The sequence below is a fragment of the Homo sapiens genome, chromosome 15 (genome assembly GCF_000001405.40).
Source record: "Homo sapiens chromosome 15, GRCh38.p14 Primary Assembly".
NCBI classification, from domain to species: domain Eukaryota; kingdom Metazoa; phylum Chordata; class Mammalia; order Primates; family Hominidae; genus Homo; species Homo sapiens.
In genome coordinates this window covers 51,807,832-51,827,618 of record NC_000015.10, presented here as the reverse complement: position 1 = coordinate 51,827,618, position 19,787 = coordinate 51,807,832, and the positions used below count along the sequence as shown (strand labels likewise).

General features: G+C 39.4%; 1 protein-coding gene across 2 annotated transcripts in view, besides 1 other annotated feature; it reads right to left on the bottom strand.

The window, feature by feature from the left end:
- Positions 6,161-6,361: a silencer, noted in NCBI's record as "peak2338 fragment used in MPRA reporter construct". NCBI's record gives its function as "represses an SCP1 promoter by STARR-seq MPRAs in K562 erythroleukemia cells {active_cell/tissue: K562}" and the evidence as "EXISTENCE:reporter gene assay evidence [ECO:0000049][PMID:32103011]".
- Positions 11,256-19,787, bottom strand: part of TMOD2 (tropomodulin 2) — a 64,767-nt gene continuing 56,235 nt past the window's right edge. For both annotated transcript variants that reach the window (NM_014548.4, NM_001142885.2), the window contains one exon: positions 11,256-19,199. In NM_014548.4, the coding sequence (NP_055363.1) occupies positions 19,165-19,199 (35 nt within the window). In that variant the 3' untranslated portion in view covers positions 11,256-19,164. The remainder of the gene's footprint in view (positions 19,200-19,787) is intronic.

The following is a 19,787-nucleotide window of genomic DNA, read 5'->3' as shown; positions in this document are numbered from 1 at the left end:
ACCGTGGCCTCCCAAAGTACTGAAATTATAGACATGCAACACCATACCCAGCTGATATGGTTTATTTTAAGAAGGACTTTCCTCTGCAATATGGCTTCTTTTGCTTTGGTCAGAGAGACTTTTTAATTCAGTGTCTGACTGACTTAATCTATTACACTTTTCCTCTCTCACCTTCCAATATGGGCTGTTAGGCATATATTAAATATATTTTCGCTATTCATTTCAAATTTTTCCTAACGAATGTATACATCTTATTTTAGTTCCTTTTTCTAAAATAATGCAGTTTGATGGTGGATTTTTTCCTTTCTTCAGGCATACATTATCATATTTTTATCACAAAGCTTATAAACATGAATCTCTTAAATCCGTGTACATTAAATACCACATATGGGGCCAGAGATGTTAAGAGTAATACCTTAGTATTGGATAGCACTGAAGAGGTAGAACCTTCCTCACTTCTTCCACTCCTTTGCTATAACACATTCGCTATATTAGCAGCCAGAATGACTTTTTTTTTTTTGAGACGGAGTCTCTGTCTGTCGCCCAGGCTGGAGTGCAGTGGCGTGATCTCTGCTCACTGCAACCTCTGCCTCCGGGGTTCAAGCAATTCTGCCTGCCTCAGCCTCCCTAGTAGCTGAGATTACAGGCCCCCCACCCCACCACACCCAGCTAATTTTTGTATTTTTTTAGTAGAGACGGGGTTTCGCCATGTTGACTAGGCTGGTCTTGAACTCCTGACCTCAGGTGATCTGCCCACTTTGGTCTCCCAAAGTGCTGGGATTACACGCGTGAGCTACCACTCCCAGCCCAGAATGATCTTTTAAAAACAAATCAGATCATATCACCATCTTGCTCCAAACCGTTCATGGCTTCCATCACATTTAGAATAAAATCCATAATTAACACCTCTACAAATCTGTATATGATTGTTTTGTTTCCTACCACATATTCTCTCTGATACTGCTCTAGTCATACTGGCCTCCCTGAGGTTTCTTAATCCTGCCAAGTTTCTCCCCATCTCAGAGTCTTTATGCTGTGCAGGAGAATGATTTTCCTCCCAGATGCTTCTAGCTCATGCCCTCATTTTAATGAAGGTTCTGCTCACATGTTACCTCTGAAAGTCTTCCTCTTACCACCTTACCCTGCCATTCTCTCCTTTCTTTACTTGTCGTCATAGCACTTTTACCACATAGCTTCATATTGCTTGTTTCCTTAGTGGAAGCTCAACAAGCTTTGCTTTGTTTACTCCTCCATCCCTAGCATCTACAATACTGCCTGCACACAGAAAGTATTCAATAAATATTTGTAAATAAATGAATGTTGGGTTCTTCCCTCTCTCTCCTACTCTCCTCTTGGGACACAGACCCAGAAGGTTCACCTGTAAATGCCAGCCAGTGACCTGATTTGGATGTAAACACCAGCTGCAAGAGGGTTGACTACACAGGAGAATAAGATCCTGTGAAAGTCCTGAAATAGAGACAGAGCTCTCTTTTAAAAAGGCTATAATTTAGGGTTGCCACTATTCCCTTAGAGTTGGAAACATAATTCTTGGAGGAAAACAAACAGGAAAAACATGGAAATTAGATTTACATAAATAAGTGAAAAGGTAAGTCCACTAAATACCTGTGGTAGATTGAAATATTGTTCCCACATATTTGCTCTCCTTTAGAGGAATAGACAGGCTTGCCCACTACTATGTGACTTCCAGTGCTGCCCCGCAGGCATTCCAGGCTTGGCTATGATCCCATGATGGGATTTTCCTCCTCTCTTCGGTTAAATGTCATATTGTAATCACAAAGTTTAGAAACATGAATCTTGCTTTGGTCAATAAAATATAAGTGGAAGGGACAATCCGACAGTTCTGGGTGGAAGCTTTAAGAGTCACTGCCTTTCTCTACTAGTGTGCCTGCTCTTTCCCTCCACCAAGAGAGACAAGTTCTGAATAGAGGCTGGTCCTTCTGCCTGGGTTCTAGAATAAGAAATTACATGGATCAGAGCCTCAGCCACTAGCTGACATAATATATAATGTGAGCGAAGGGGAAACTGAGGTTTAGGTTCGTTTGTTACTATAGACTTACTTAGCAAAAGCTGACTACTATAGTGCCTAATCAAAGAAACATGATGATCTGAACTAGAAGTGGTATGGCACCCCCAACCGTCTGCATTTAACCCACTTCAAGTAATGGAAAACTGTTGAAGTTCAACAGGCTAACACACTACAGAGAACAAATCTGAGGCCTTCAGGTAAAATATTTGAACAAGGGACAGAGTATGGTTCCCATTAGTGTTCAGGGTTTGGTTAGAGTGAAAGTGATTGATAAAATGACACTTCAACTCTACTTTATGTGTTAATATTACAAGCTCTAATTAGTGTTATCTCTAAACTTCCAGCCAGAATAACTCAGAAAGCATGTCACACTGAATCATCGTATGCTAATTAATAACAGCAGCACTTTTCTTGTTATCAAAGAGTTCCTTTAGGAAATAGTTACTTTGGTATATGTAAGCATATTTTGTGTGTATGTAAAAACGTGTATTTATAGGAGAGCTGAGAAAAACTAAAGACAAAAATTTGAAATGAAAAGGGAAGGATTTCATTATGGAAGCTTGGAGGTAGGAATCCTATGGAAGCAGTGGGAGGTAGCAATCACAGAAGACAAACATCATGGCTGGGTACATACCGGTTTTTTTTTTTTTTTTTTTTTTGAGATGGAGTCTCTCTCTGTCACCCAGGCTGGAGTGCAGTGGCGTGATCTTGGCTCACTGCAAGCTCCACCTCCCGGGTTCACACCATTCTCCTGCCTCAGCCTCCCAAGTAGCTGGGATTCCAGGTGTGCACAACCATGCCTGGCTAATTTTTGTATTTTTAGTAGAGACGGGGTTTCACCATGTTGGCCAGGCTGGTCTCAAACTCGTGACCTCAGGTGATCTGCCTTCCTTGACCTCCCAAAGTGCTGGGATTACAGGCATGAGCCACCACGCCTGTGTGCATACAGTTTTACAGGAAAGATTCAAGCACACTTTTTGGCCTCAAGTGCCCCTTTTTCTATAACCCATCTCTGCCTGTTAGAAGCCTCCTCATGTTTCATTGTCCATCTCAAATGTCTGTTCCCCACTCAACCTTCACTAATGCCATCAGCTGGAATTAATTTTGCCTTTCCCATATTTTCATACCCCATTATGCCTCCATTAGAAGTGCACTGAATACACATTTCAGCCAAATGCCAAAAGGGCCAAAAAATAAGTCACTCTTCAGCTGAAGCCAAAGTTGATGACAAACATCACTATTAAAGAATAAACTTCTGGGATATGCACATAAACCTAAAATATTATCCCCAAATTTTAATACTATTTTAATAATATTAAAAATGTTAGTGCTAAAACTGTTCAGTTTAACATTTACTATAGAAGCAATAAATTCCCAGTGCTGTCCATTGTTAGACTCTCCTACAGTCACTGCAGAAAGCCAAATTTCAGCTCAGGTGAGTGAATGAATATGATCCCTGTCATAAATGGAATTAAATAAGAATTAAATTCAGGTCTTTAAATGATAAATGCTAGATGCCCCAAACCCTTCTACCAAGACCAGAGTTGTGATATGATTTAACTTCTGCTTACTTTTCCTTGTCTTTATTTATTTTTATTTATTATTATTATTTGTTTTTGAGACAGAGTCTCACTCTGTCGCCCAGGCTGGAGTGCAATGGCACGATCTTGGCTCACTGCAACCTCCACCTCCTGGGTTCAAGCGATTCTCCTGCCTCAGCCTCCTGAGTAGCTGGGACTACAGACGTGCACCACCACACCTGACTTATTTTTGTATTTTTAGTAGAGACAGGGTTTTGCCATGTTGGCCAGGCTGATCTTAAACTCCTGACCTCAAGTGATCCTCCAACCTCGGCCTCCCAAAGTGCTGGGATTACAGGTGTGAGCCACCGCGCCTGGCCTCCTTGTATTATTTGAATTTTTTATAAACATTTATTGGCTTGAAAACAATGTATTGTTTTTTCTAGGTTATCTAGCCAATGGATTCCTTCTTGATATTTGTAGTGATTGTCAGCTTATTTTCCTATTTGCTTAAAAGTCTTAAATAATTGTTTCTTTTTGTCTTTTACTAAATTCTTATTGATACATTATAATTGTACATATGCATGGGAGTACATGTGATATTTTGCTACATGATACAATGTGTAATAATCAAACCAGGGTAATTGGTCATCATCTCAAACATTGATTATTTCTTTGTGTTGAGAACATTTCAAATCTTCCAGCTATTTTGAAATATGCAATACATTATTGACAACTACAGTCACCCTACTGTGCTGTTGAACCACTAAAACTTATTCCAAGTGTATTTTTGTACCCATTAACTAAACTGTCTTCATTTTTATCCTCCTTAAGTTTTTAATTTGTTTGTTTGTTTGTTTGTTTTTAGATGAAATCTCGCTCTGTTGCCCAGGCTGGAGTGCAGTGGTGCGACCTTGGCTCACTGCAACCTCTGCCTCCCGGGTTCAAGTGATTCTCCTGCCTCAGCCTCCCGAGTAGCTGGGACTTCAGGCGTGCACCACCACACCCAGCTAATTTTTTTGTATTTTTAGTAGACACAGGGTTTCACCATGTTGGTCAGGCTGATCTCAAACTACTGACTTCAAGTGACCCACCCACCATGACCTCCCAAAGTGCTAGGATTACATGTTTGAGCCATCGCACCCAACCAGTTCTTTAGAGAAGTTTTACAAGTGTTTACCCTTCAAAAAGCTTAAGGTTCTATAAAAATGTTATGAACCTTTCCTAAATTCCTGGCTTTTAAAGTGATGCATCCATAAGTGAGCCTAAGTACATAAAAGAAACTTGTGGTATCAGGAGGCTGGGCCAAAATGTGTGCATTACTAGAACATGAAAAGCACCATCAGGGGATTACTTTTTAAATTTCTTTTTCAGGTTGTTCATTGTTGGCATATAGAAATGCTACTGATTTTTATATGTCGACTTTGTTTCCTGCAACTTTACGGAATTTTTTTAATCAGTTCTAATAGTTGTTTGATGGCATCTTTAGGTGTTTCCAAATGTAAGATTATGTCATCTGCAAACTAGGATAATTTGATTTCTTCTATTCTAATTTGGATGCTCTTTATTTATTTCTCTTGTCTGATTGCTCTAGCTAGAACTTCCAGTATTATGTTGAATAACAGTGGTGAAAGTGGGCATCCTTGTCTTGTTCCAGATCTTAGAGGAAAGAGTTAATTTTTTCCCATTCAGTATGAAACTATCTGTGGGTCTGTCACATATGGTTTCTATTATGTTGAGGTATGTTCCTTTTATACCCAGTTTTTTTTTTTGAGATGGAGTCTCGCTCTGTTGCCCAGGCTGGAGTACAGTGGTGTGATCTCAGCTCACTGCAAGCTCTGCCTCCCAGGTTCACACCATTCTCCTGCCTCAGCCTCCCGAGTAGCTGGGACTACAGGTGCCTACCACCACACCTGGCTAATTTTTTTGTATTTTTTAGTAGAGATGGGGTTTCACTGTGTTAGCCAGGATGGTCTCAATCTCCTGACCTCGTAATCCACCCACCTCGGCCTCCCAAAGTATACTCAGTTTTTTTAGGGTTTTTATTATGGAGGGACATTGAATTTTATCAATTTTTTTTTTAGCATCAATTGAAATGATCATATGGTTTATGTCCTTCACTCTGTTGATATGGTGTGTCACATTGATTGATTTCTGGTGGGTTTTTTTTTGTTTTTTGTTTTTGTTTGAGTGAGATTCTTGCTCAGTCACCCAGGTTGGAATGCAGTACCACAATCTTGGCTCATTGGAACTTCTACCTCCTAGGCTCAAGCGATTCTTTCACCTCAGCCTCCTTAATAGCTGAGACCATGGGTGCACACCACCATGCCTGGCTAATTTTTTGTTTTTTGGTAGAGACAGGGTTCCACCTTGTTGTCCAGGCTCCCAAAGTGCTGGGATTACAGGCGTGAGCCACCACTCCTGGCCTGATTTGTGTATGTTGAACCATCCTTGCATTCCAGGGATAAATTCTACTTGGTCATGAAGAATGATCTTTTAAATGTCTTGTTGAATGCAGTTTGCTAGTATTTTGTTGAGGATTTTTGCATCAATACTCATCAGAGACACTGGTCTGTAATTTTCTTTTTTTGATGTGTCTTCGTCTAGTTTTGGTCTCAGGGTAATACTGGACTTGTAGAATGAGTTTGTATTCCCTTCTCTTCTATTATTTTGGAGCAGTTTGAGTAGAATTGGTATTAGTTCTTCTTTAAATGTTTGGTGGAATTCAGCAGTGAAGCCATCAGGTCTTGAGCTTTTCTTTACTGGGAGACTTTTTATTATGTCTTCAATCTCGTTACTTGTTATTGGTCTGGTCACACTTTGGATTTCTTCATGGTACAATCTTGATAGGTTTATGTGTCTAGGAATTTATTCATTTCCTCTAGGTTCCCAATTTATTTGCACATAGTTGCTCATAGTAGCTACTAATGATCCTTTGAATTTTTGTAGTATAAGTTGTAGTGTCTCCCTTTCCATTTCTGATTTTATTTATTTGGGTCTTCTTTTTTTTTTTTTTTCTTAGTCTGGGTAATGGTTTGTCAATTTTCCTAATCTTTTCAAAACACCAACTTTTTGTTTCATTGATCTTTTATGTTATTTTCTTCATTTCAGTTTCATTTATTTGTGCTCTGATCTTTATTATTTCTTTTCTTCTACTAATTTTGGGTTTGGCTTGCTCTTGTTTTTCTAGTCCCTTAAGATGCCTCATTATTTATTTGAAGTTTTTCTTCTTCTTTTGATGTAGACACTATAAACTTCCTTCTTGGTAATGCTTTCACTGTATCCCACAGGTTTTGTATGTTCTGTTTCCATCATCATTTGTTTCAAGAAAATTTTTCAATTTTCTTTCTGATTTCTTTATTGACCCACTGGTCATTCAGGAGCATATTGTTTAATTTCCGTGTATTTGTATAGTTTCTAAAATTCCTCTTGCTATTGATTTTTAGTTTTATTCCATTGTGGTCAGAGAAGATGCCTGATATTATCACAATTTTTAAAAGTATATTAAGACTTGTTTTGTGACAAAGCATCTATATCTGAGAATGATCCATATGCTGCGAAGAATGTGTATTCTGCAGTTCTTGGATAAAATGTTCTGTAAATATCTCTTAGGTCCATTTGGCCTATAGAGCAGATTAAGTCCAATGTTTCTTTGTTGATTTTCTCTCTGGAAGATGGGTCCAATGCTGAAAGTGGGGTGTTGAAGTCCCCAGCTATTATTGCATTGAGGTCTCTCTCTCTCTCTTTCTCTTTAGTTCTAATAATATTTGCTTTGTATATCTGGGTGCTCCAGTACTGGGGGCACATGTATTTAAAATTGTTATATCCTCTTGCTGAATTGACCCCTTTATCATTATATAATGACCTTCTTTGTCTCTTCTTACAGTTTTGTCATGAACTCTATTTTGTCTGACATAAGTATAGTGACTTCTGTTCTTTTTTGGTTTCCATTAGCATGAAATATCTTTTTCCATCCCTTCATTTTCAGCCTATGTATATCTTTAAAGGTAAAGCATTACCTGTATGCAACAGATCAGTCAGTCTTTTTTAAAAATGTTATTCAGCCCAATAAAAAGATAGTATGTCTTTTTATTGGGGAGTTTAGTCCATTTATATTCAATGTTATTACTGCTAAGTAAGGACTTACTCCTGCCATTTTGTTGTTTTCTAGTTACTTTATGGTCTTCTCTTCCTTCTTTCCTTCCTTCCTGTCTTCCTTTTAGTGAAGGTGATTTTCTCTGGTGGCATGATTTAACTTATTGCTCCATGTGTGTGTGTTTTTGTGTGTATCCACATTAAGCTTTTAATAAACTAAAACATCAAAGTCTTTCTCCACACAGATGGCAGTTGAGTTATATTCTCCTCATGCTACTTTTTAAGTTGATTTTTAAAATTAAAAGTAAAAAAGTGTACTATTACATCTATTAAATTTTATCCAATTAGATACAGACTTGTACTTTGGCCTATCCATATATTTTTGAACCTATCAAAGTATTCCTTGTCCCTCCCAGTGCCTATCAGCTGAATACCTCATCAGCGTTCTATCAGTATCACACACCAATCAACTGCTAAACAAGACATGTCTAGGAAAGAGCCTTGTGGTGGCTACTAAGACCTGGTCAAAATTAATCCATCCATTAGCATTTACTTATGATCAATTGTCTAAACCAGTCATTTAACTAGTTAGCCACATTGGGCCAGGTGCAGCGGCTCACGCCTGTAATCCCAGCACCTTGGGATGCCAAGATGGGCGGATCACCTAAAGTCAGGAGTTTGAGACCAGCCTGGCCTACATGGTGAAACCTCATCTCTACTAAAAATACAAAAATTAGACGGGCATGGTGACAGGCGCCTGTAATCCTAGCTACTCAGGAGGCTGAGGCGGGAGAATCTCTTGAACCCAGGAGGCGGAGGTTGCAGTGAGCCGAGATGGCGCCACTGCACTCCAGCCTGGGTGCCAGAGTGAAACTCCACCCCCCCAAAAAAAAAAAAAAAAATTCAAGATACCCAGTAAACCAGAAGAGATGCCAATAAAACAGGTGTAAACCAGACTCCATCTAAAAAAACAAAAACAAAAACAAAAAAACAAACAAAAGAACAAAACTAGTTAGCCACTCTCTGTTACGTAGCCCGTATTTCTCAAGGATGCTGTGAGGCTTTGTCAAATGTCTTGCTGTAATCCAAACACAGTGCGTTTTTTGACTTTGCTCTCAAGATTTCATATCAATTATTTTAAGTGAATCTGTGCTGGCTTTTAGAGGTCACTGCTTCACTTCCAACTGCTTACAAACCACTAAAGTGGAGAATACACTTTTCTAAAATTTTGCTCTGGATTTATATAGCCAGTGGTCAACAGTTTGTAGAATCTCCTCCCCACCACCACACATTTTGAGTCATACGCCTGTCTGACTTTCCTACATAATCTCCCTTCTTAGATTGGTGGGGCTGGAAGCATAGCCCAATCTCATGCAAGCACACATACGTCTAGTTCTAGTGAGGTCCTTGGATGTGTGGGACATTTGTCAGAGGCCATGGTATCTGATTGTGTTCCCCGACTGCTGGGAGTAGGCAGGCAGTGGGTTGGTAACCAGAGAAGAGGGGACACAGAGCACTACTTCTGAAAGCCATAAAAAAAGGCTGAGTTATCAAGCTGAGAGACGTTGGTCCATAACAAAGTCAAGTCTAACACAAAACAGATGTGAAATTCAAGGAGTCACTCCAGAAGCCAAATGGGCAAATCCAAAAGAGGATACCCACAAGGCAGAGCAAGCCTAAACAAGGGAAACATGAGGGAAATCACCAGGGCTGAGCTAATGAGAAGGTGGGTCAGGAGTAACGCCTGCATCAGTTCTCTTATTTGTATTCAGTTCTTGGAGTGATGGGGGAGGGCCTGTGTGCTAGAGGGGAATGGTCAGTAGAAATTTAAAAATGAGTAAGATTCACTAGATCCTGTTTAAATTCTTGACATTGTTGGCATAAAATGGAGAGCTTTGTTGGCGTTAATATCCATGTGATACAGGAGTGCTGGGAAGGGAAGAGTGTAGTCCCTTTAAATGATACGGAACGGGGTTAGGGAAGCGCTGGGCAGAGGTCGGTGTGGTCTCTGGCTAGGGGTCCACCCCCACGGACCTAGGTGAGGACAGGCACTCCTGCCTTCCCGCCCAAATGTTGCATTTCCCAAGACCACCCTGGCCCGCCACGCCCCCATCCTGGGCCTATAAAAACCTGAGACACTGGCAAGGCTGAGACACGGTGGCTGAACTTAGGAGACGGTTGGTGGAAGAAGATACAAGTGGCTGGGCTGTAGATAGGCCACTGAGGAGAGCACATCGGTGGAAGAATACACTGACATGCATCAGGCAGGCCATGCGGCCATCCACCAGTGGGATGAGGTGGAGTTTGGCCAGGGCAGTCGGAGGAGAGCCGGCCGAGCGGCCAGAACTCCAAGGGAAAACCATCTCCCTCTGGCTCACCCATCTGTGGAGAGCTACTTCCACTTAATAAAAGTTTGCACTCATTCTCCAAGCCCACTTGTGATCCAATTCTTCCGGCACACCAAGGCAAGAACCCAGGATACAGAAAGCCCTCTGTCCTTGAGGCAAGGTAATAAGTTCTAATTGAGTGGTTAACACAAGCCGCCTATAGACGGCAAACTAAGAAAGCACCCTGCAACACGCCCACTGGGGCTTCAGCTGTAAACATTCACCCCTAGACGCTGCCGTGGGGTCAGAGCTCCACAGCCTGCCTGTCTGTATGCTCCCCTAGACATTTGAGCAGCGGGGCACTGAAGAAGCGAGCAACTCGCCCTGTCGCATGCCCTGCAAGGGGGACAAGGGAACATTTCCTGTTTCACATAGATATTTATTTAGGTTAGAATTAAAAATTCTAAGTGCCTTCTATATCGGACACTGTTCTAAATGTTTTTACACATTAATCTGCATAATAGTACTACCGTGAAAAATGCTATAATTGTTACTACTTTACAGATGAAGCTGGGGCTTGGTAATTTGCACAAATTCGTGTAACTAATGGAAGTGAGATCTGAACCAGGCAGGTGTGACCCCAGGGTGCACACTTGTAACCACTCTATTCATTATAATCCAATAGGCTGAAAGGGAGAATCTTTTAAACAAAATAATTACTATACTTTCTTGTCCAAGAGAAGGTGTGAAACAGCAAATATAGAAATTAGACACTGGCCCTTTATGTTTCTCAGTTGAACCTTATCAGTCTAAACTGAAATCCAAGGGTCAAAGAGTTGGGACAGAGTTCAGCAGAAGGGCAGGAAGAACAGTTTTTCCTGTTTTTCCAGGGTCAAACCTTTACAACATAACTTCATCATTTTTAGTGTTCAGTATTACAAATTATCAGAAGAGCTTTAAAGAGAATAATAATGTAAATCCAAAATTAGTGTAAAAAATTCAGGGTAAAATAGTCAACCTGTTTGGGCTTTCTGTACTCCTGTTCCCATTCATTCTAACAAATTTTTAACTATTTAGCCAAATGTGTTCATTTTTGTTTGATAACAAGTTATTTCTCTCTGTTATGGCTACTTGCAGTTGTCTTGTTTCTTCATCATAAGGGCATTTAATAGTTTTCTGCAAATGTGCTCATCTAAGAACATGATGCCAACCATTTGTTTTAAAGAAACACTGTCTAAAAATTAGCCATATAAAACCAGTCTTTACTTTTACTTTGAAAGGAAAGTTTATTATTTCCCAATGTTCTTTACATTTTCATTTGGAAATATCATTCCTGACAGAAATAGATACATTATACCTTCGAAAGCAGAAAGATCTTAATTAATTAAAACAGTTTACATTTACCTTAGCATTAGGTCTGGCTGGCTAATTTCAAAGGATTAAAAATTGCACCTATTTGGGCCAACTGGGGTCCTGAATAATTATCCAGGGTAAAAGTATAATATTTCATACTTTATACATTTTGCTTCATCACACATTTACTTTCCACACAGTGTTCAACTTCACATTTAAAAAGCAAATTAGTCTTTAATTCCCTAATGAATATAATAGTCTTGATTTGATTGAAGTTTCAAATGGAAAATAAAACTATGCGGAGTTTTCAATAACTGCTTAGCCCAATAAATGTTGCCAATAGAAGTTTAAACACTTGTTTAAACAGTTTGCAAAGTATTATTTCCTTTATTCTCTTCAAAACAACACAGACACACATAAAGTCACACATTACAGGCATCTGAACTGGTAAAATGTTACAGATTAGTGGCATGCAGGTATTTTACATTTTTAAGTGCAATGAAAAATGCTGCTTATTCATTTTGCTTGAATGGATGAAAACAACTAAAATAAATGCTTAATTAAAATATAACTATTCCATGTATATAAGGGTTTTTGTTTTTAAACCAAAGTGGCAGAGATAAGAATTTTAGGTCAGAATAACTTACTTCTTAACTGAAGATTGTCACTGGCAACATTTGGTACTAAAATAAAATTTCCTCAAAAAGCACATTTCCTATTGATCTCATTTCGTCATATGGCCGATTCCTATCTACTCACAGTTAGATTACCCACAGGAAGTTTTAAATCTTGGGCCAGCCTCTCTCAATTGCACAGTATACTTTTGATTGACTTCTCTCTTTTTCCCAGTCAATACTTACTCAGAAACACACACATACACACACACACACACATTTTAAATAAGAGCCTACAAAAAAATGCTGTGTTTACTATGCTCAGTTTCTTTCTTTGCCTTCCCTCTTCTTCCCCACTGGTTCTGAGGAGCAAGATAGTATATATTTTATTTTATTTTTTGAGATGGAGTTTCGTTCTTGTCACCCAGGCTGGAGTGCAGTGGTGTGATCTCGGCTCACTACAACCTCCACCTCCTGGGTTCAAGCGATTTTCCTGCCTCAGCCTCCCCAGTAGCTGGGATAACAGGCTCTTGCCACAGGGCCCAGCTAATTTCTGTATTTTTAGTAGAGACGGGGTTTCACCATGTTGGCCAGGCTGGTCTTGAACTCCTGACCTCAGGTGATCCACCCACCTTCACCTCCCAAAGTGCTGGGATTACAGGCATGAGCCACTGGGCCCAGCCTAAATAGTATATATTTTTAAATATCCTTTCAGAAAAGGCCGCTTATCCAGAACCATTCTGAAGACAGTAAAGAACTGCTGAAGAGGAAGAAAAAACTGGCTGTGCAATAGTCAGACCTCCTCTGAACAAAGCCTCCTGGAGAGAAACAGCTGCAGTGGAGGCATTACTCACCCATGTTCAGAGGCAACGGAAACGATTTAGAATCACAAGCTTGTCAAGTATTGGAGCTGGAAGGGACCTTAGGGAGCATTGAATCTACTCACTTCATTTTACAGATGAAATGAAGACAAGATAGATGGAGAGTCTTGCCCAAAGTCACATAGAGCTGGCATCCAAATCACTATTGTTTCTCAAAAATATCACATGGTGGCAAATGGAGCATAACTCTGTGGGGCTGGACGACAGCTAAATTCAAGCAACATTTGTTCATTAAGCACCTACTATGTACAAGGCACCTTACAAGATGGTACTGAAGATACAAAGATGGATGAGACACAGTCCTGCCTCCAAGGGCTTATGAAAGTCATTGGAGGCCATGCTTCAAAACCTTTCTTAGCAGAAATATTACTGACCAGGGCTAAGGTTGCTGGTGATAACAAGGCAGCTGCTGCCCTGGAGAGGTGATCTCACAACAGGTGGCACTTTCTCCCCTTCACTATCTATCAGAACTAATGCCTGTTACTCAGCTGCTAGGCATTAAAATTCTTGAAACCCTAAGGACACTCTTCTCTCCTAGGCCTCCAGTCAAACCTGAAGTCTTAGCCTCTCCCACCCACAGCAATGACAGGAGGGCAGTAGCGCTCCAGACCCTCCCCTCAATTCTTAGTCAACTGTTCGCTTTCTCCCTTGTGCCCAGCCTAGGCCCTCTGCAAGGACTGACAATTTCCCAAGGTACTGTCAAAGTGACCCAGGAAAATGTCCTACCATATACATCGCTGGTATCTAACTTCCACTGCCCCATCAACCACCTCTCCCACCTCTACATGGGAGCTGAAATAACTCCAGTCCCTGATGACACACCCAAGCCTCAATTACCCATACTCCAAAAGATGAGAAAGATGTAATGGTTGGTTAGAATAAAGCCGATTCAAGAGGCAGTGGAAAACAGTGATTTGATAATAAAACTGATCTCTCACATTTGTACGGCGCTTTCCAGTTTATATAGTGTTTTTATCCAGTTATCTGATTATATTCTTACCACAACTCTGTGAGGTAGTTAGTGAAGTATTATTCCCATTTTATAGCTGAAGAACCTTAGGCTTGAGAGACCAAGCGGTTTGCCCAAAGTTACCCAGCTAAGGAAGTGTGGAGCCAAGTGTCCAGGTTTCTTGACTCCAAATCCAGTGCTCTTCCCCCTATATAGTCTATAATTGGCAGGCAATTGAATGAATTGCCCATGATCATATACCTGCTAAGTGTTGGTGATGGGATTAGGTTTCAGTCTCCAAATCTGTTAGTACGGTGCCCCTTCACCATACCAACTAACTGGGCCAATGTGCTCAGAATGTCTACCATGGAAGAGATCAGAAGAACATCTAGTTAGTTAACTACTCTTTTCTATGTCTAGGTCATCAGTTCTCTCCTTCATCCTCCCCCAAGTCAACAATGTATCCCAACTGGCAAAGCCTCTAAAACATGCACTATTCCTAGAACAGAACCCAGAGTCAGGTTACAAATTTAAACTTGCAACTCCTCTTCCATTGGTCTACTGATTATTCAGTCATTGCTATTACAGACAGATGGGAAAGAGATAAGCTGAGCAAATCTCAGTTCTGCCATTAAACAAATGTAAACCTTTAATTTCCATCATCCTTCCCCACCTCGGTCAGCAATTTGACTTCTTAACTCCTGAACTACAAAGTAAAATCCAATCTGATCTAGGGTTAGGGAGCAATAAAGCAGTGAATAATATCCCTGAAGTTCTTGGCGCTTTTCTCTGGCTAGTATATTACAACAGGAGGCCCTATCGTCTGATTTTCATCCAGTGGGCTCAGCTGGATGCTTCCAAGCACTCTCACACCTTTCCTTTGTGTGCATCTCAGTACTTTAGCTTTAGGATTGGTTGAGTAGCAGGGATATTTGAGATGAAAGCAATAAGAGGAGGTAAAGGGAAGCTGCAAGTGGAAGGCAGAGCTAGGACCTTTCCTCTTAGTTCTCTGCTCGTTAAAATGAAAACAGCTATTATTGCATCATTAGTGGAAGAGGGGAAGGAAGCTTCAGGATCATGACTTAAAACCTGACTCCAGAAACACTTCTACTGAATACAGGTAACATAGCACAGAACCTAGTGTTCTCAACTTCCCGCCCTCTGCCCATTTTTGCTGATGCTATAAATACTTGAATTAAATATGGGATCTTCTTTGTAAAAAAGGCACTCAGTCTACTCCCCAATCTCAGAAACACATATAAAATTATATTAGTCCAGAATTTTTATGCTTCCTCTGTCTTCTTCGTAGTGCCTAGGAGGGGGCTGAGTACATCATATCTGTGAAGAAGGAAATAGCTGCACATGTGTTTGTAAATTCCAAAGGGCTATCTTACACTTAAAGCATGCTGATGCTTAATATTGGTTTTAAGAATTTTCAGTTTGAGCATCTGAAATGTTCTCATGGCAGCTATTCGGAGGACATTGGTTTCCCTAATGCTGGTGCCCTGTCAGGGGCCATGTTTCTGTTGGAAGAGAAGCACCTGCTCTTTGGGCTGGTGTGCCAGTCTTCCCTTAGGGAAATTGGTTTGAGGAGTACAGGCACTGGGATGATTTCTGAGTTTTTAAATGAATGGGCTTTTATTGTAAGATGAACTGCATGCCCCTCCAGGTTGGTAATCTTCTAACCTGGGCCTGCAGCAACTTGGACAGGGACGAGGGAAGCAGGGCTGGGAGACAGCATCTCCCTCCAGTCAATTTTCCAGATGAAGCCAAATACCCCATTATGGTATTTGATGATCTTTATGTACAAAATATTTATATACAATGTGCCCTACAAAGATGGAAGAAAGGGGCTTCATCATGTTGATGAGGATGGAATGTTAAATACATTAGGCAAATGGATAGATTTGGTGCTAGAACAACTAAATGATTTCTAGGCTTCTAATATTTATTTCCTAAGAGTCATCCTCTACATAGCTATAAAATGTGGTGGTTGGTAACATAAACTGCAAAGCCTAGGGAGTAATTTCATATTTAACCTGGGCCTGCAGCAATTCTAAAAAGGACAAGGGAAGAGGACTGGGGAGAGAGCATCTCCCTTCAATCAGTTGTCCAGATGTAGCCAAATACCTAGTTAGATATCTGACAGTACACACACACATACACACACGACACTTATTTACATTATACCCTCCAAAGATGAAAGAAACGAAGTCATTTAATCATGCTGATGAGGATGAAAGAGCTTCCAGTTATACACTATAAGCAGATGGGGAGCTGCAGTGCTGAACTAATCATATGATTTCTAGACTTCTAAGGTTTTTCTCCTAAATGTCATCTACATGTGCCATAATAGATGTTGGTGATACAAGCCCACAAGTCCAGGTGAGTGATTTTACACTTAAAGTGGACCTGCACAACTCTAAAAGGGGGAGGGAGATAGGCCTGGGGAGAAGTTATCTCCCTTCAGTCAGTTATCCAGATATTGCCAAATATCTCAACACAGTATCTGGCAGAACAAATACATAGAAAAATATTTTATATACATTATGCCCCATCACAATGGATAGCAAAGGATTAACTGTGCCCATGATCATGAAAGAGCTACCACTTCCACACTTTGGGCAGAGAGGGAGATGAAGTCCTAGGCTAATTAAATGATGGATAGGCTCCTCAAGTGTATGTTTTTCTAAGGGTTATCATCAATATGTGCACACTCATGGAAATGCCACCTTTCAAGCCACTTTAAAAACACAGGTAATAAGAAAACAAACTGATTAGTAAAAAACATTTGATTTCATAGACTCTGTTGCATGCAACCCAACTATTTCATAAGGTAAAAACAGTGCTATATTTTTGATAATGTCCCATTATCTTGCTTTAATACTATCAACAACTGCTTGTACAAAAGAAACAGCCATGATTGAATTCTGATTCTTTTTTTCTTGCTTTCTGCCAGAGTTTGCCAAGAACTGCTTTAGCCCCCAGCCCACAGCACTGTGGGGCTGCAAGGAATGCTCTATAGGGTCCAGGATTTTAAGAGTCAAGGCAAGAATGAGAGTAAGAAAAAAAAAAAAAAAAAGGAAAAAGGCTTACTTGGAGAGGCAGGTCAGGGACTCAGCACTTAAACAGGTTTGTAACAAATCCAAAGAGGAGAAAAGACATCTAAGAGAAATGTTCTTCCCTTCGGCAACATGATAAGCGAAACATATGTATAAAAAAATGTATAATTTCACCCAGTGGTGTGCTGATGAATGTTTATCAACCAGCAATCTGGAGAGGGAGAAAACCCCAATTTCTTACATATTGCTAATTTCTGTGGTGTAAATATTTCTACCATGGCCAATTTCAAGCCACTGTAGTAACAAGAAGGTAGTGAACATGGAGTTGAGAGGATACGTTCAGTAGCATACTGTTTGGTAATATTTCTACATACATACCTACTAGATGTAAATAATCTAAGAGGTTAGAAAATAGTAAAATGTAAGATTTTTGAGTACAGTATTTGTTACTTCTGTCCTTAATATAATTCATTCAGTTGTAAGTGCACATCATTTAATTTTAAATAATGGCTGTATTGAACAACCAGTTTGCAAAATTCTTGAAAATATAACAGTTGGCAAGCCTGTACAAGTTGACTCCAACACATCACACCTAAATGGGTGAAAGGGAAGGAAAAATCAGACTGAAAACCATAAACATTATTTACTATGTTTTTTAAATAGATAAGGAGATGAAGCCATAAACTAATTAAAGGATTTTCAGGGGCCAAAGGTGTTAGAATATTCTGCTTATGGTGTTCTCAAACATTAAAAAAATTTCAAGATAATGAGATGTTTCAAAGGACTTCAGAGACACAGATGTGGGTACTTACAATACAGGTAAATGTTCAATTTTACAAGGGCTATCTTAAACAGATTCCATGTGTTTTACAAGCTAAATAGAATAATATATTAATTATTTTCCTATTCACTTGTTTTATTGCTACTAGGCAACTCAGGAACACTCAGCTACTAAACAAATTCTGGAATTTGTTTAGTAACAAATTACAGAGAAAAGAGGAAAAAAAAGACAATGAATTGGAAGAAAGGGAGGGGAGAAAGGAGGAATAGAGGGTGAGTTGCCTTGGGCAGTGTCAGAATGTCACCAATCACAACCTCAGGCACTGACAGTTATCAGAGTTGTGAGCTTGAGCCAAAGGCTGCAGTCACCTGCTTCATTAGTTTAGCACTGCATTTTTACACCACTACATTGAAAGATTAATGCATACTACAATGCAACCATCTCACTTGTACTTTCACAGGCTTTGTCCTTGAGATGACATGCATCTGGATAAATAATTCACATTTTTCTCCTGACGTTTGCAAATGTCTGGATGGATCATATACTGTGGACAAAAATCTAGATAATTAACCTGAATGTTTATATTTAATCCAGTGATCTTGTTACACTAAAGACAAAGCAATAAATGCTTCTAAAATTTGCCAAAAAATGCAATCATCTGCATCAGACAGCCTTGATTAAGATACAATATTGTTGTTTTATTCAGGAATGTACTGTTTTAAAAGCTTCTCTCTTACTAAAATTTAGAAAATTTCTATCATGTTTGAAAAACTTTAAAACAGCTTTGTAAATAGCCTTTAAAGTCATGTTAAAGATTCAATTTATGTTGAATAGTCAGTAAAAGTAGGTGTGTAATTCATTTTGCTACCTGTGAGTCTGGCTTGATGCTACATTTGTGGGTTAATAAATAGACTTCTTTGCTACTGTTTTAAAGTGTCATAATGTTGTCTTGCTTTATGAAGATGACACTACTGATCTCCAATCAACAGGGCATGTGCATTTACTGATTTTTCTGGAACTAAGAGAGAATTTGTGCTAAATTGGTCACATTTTCACATGCAGTGAAAGATTGGCAATACTAACTTCTTATGTGGTCAGTAGAACACTTCTGATGTATTTAGCCTAACTCAAAGCTATGCATGTAAACAGAGATAGGCCTCTATCATAATCACAGTTACAAACACATATTATACACTAAATTCCTTTCAGTGATTAAAAAAACAAGTTCATGTAAGAAAGCAAGACAACCCAATAAGAAAGTGGTTAAATTCATTTTCCATGTCGTCACTCTCTAAAATCTGCATCGGTCCATTTGTCAAGTTGCCAGAAGTGCCCATGAGCAAATAAAACAATTGCATATATTACAAAATCCAAGATAAATAAGTAGTGCTAAAAAAGAATAACAATTAAATTATTAGTTATGTGGTTAACGGAAATGAACGAACTTTGATAAAATGGTCCTGATGGGGAAGAAGAAGAGTTTTTGTTTTTCAATGGCCATACCACAGTGAAACTTCACTTCTCCTCAAGGAAGTTTACCTTCGGTCTGCTTCAACTCTCTTCTTACGAACTAGGTAAGAAAGAAAGGAACAAAAAGACAAATTGAAGGGATATTCCTTAAATTCCAGATAAACAACATTAATCACATAAGATGACAATCTCACACACTTGAGGATACAGTTATCTTAAATTTTAATACTTAACCATGACAATCAATGGAAATGATAAATTCATCCAGTGTCTGGTGGAATTTACATTTAAATACATATATGTCTGATAGTTGGGTACTCGAGTGTTAGAACCTTCGAATTTCTATGGGATAGAAATTCCAGAAGAGACCCGTGAAACAGTGCACTTTGACTATTTTCATGGCCGTTTATCCACGGCACTTGCAATTCTGTCACCAACTGGCTTTAACTAACTCTTCAGGTTAACACAATCACAATCTTTTAATTCTGATTATGGGATGAAGTCTGGAAGGAGCTGCAAATAGTTCAAAGTTTCTGAAACTCTTCTAAATAAAAACTTCTAAGTATCAACCTACAGGAAGGTGTGATTCACTTGGCAAGCAAACTCAGAGATTAATGTTCTTTTAACCTGATGTTTAGAACCGAAGAAGTTGCCGAGACTGCCGTTTCCCAGTTCCTGCAACCCTCTT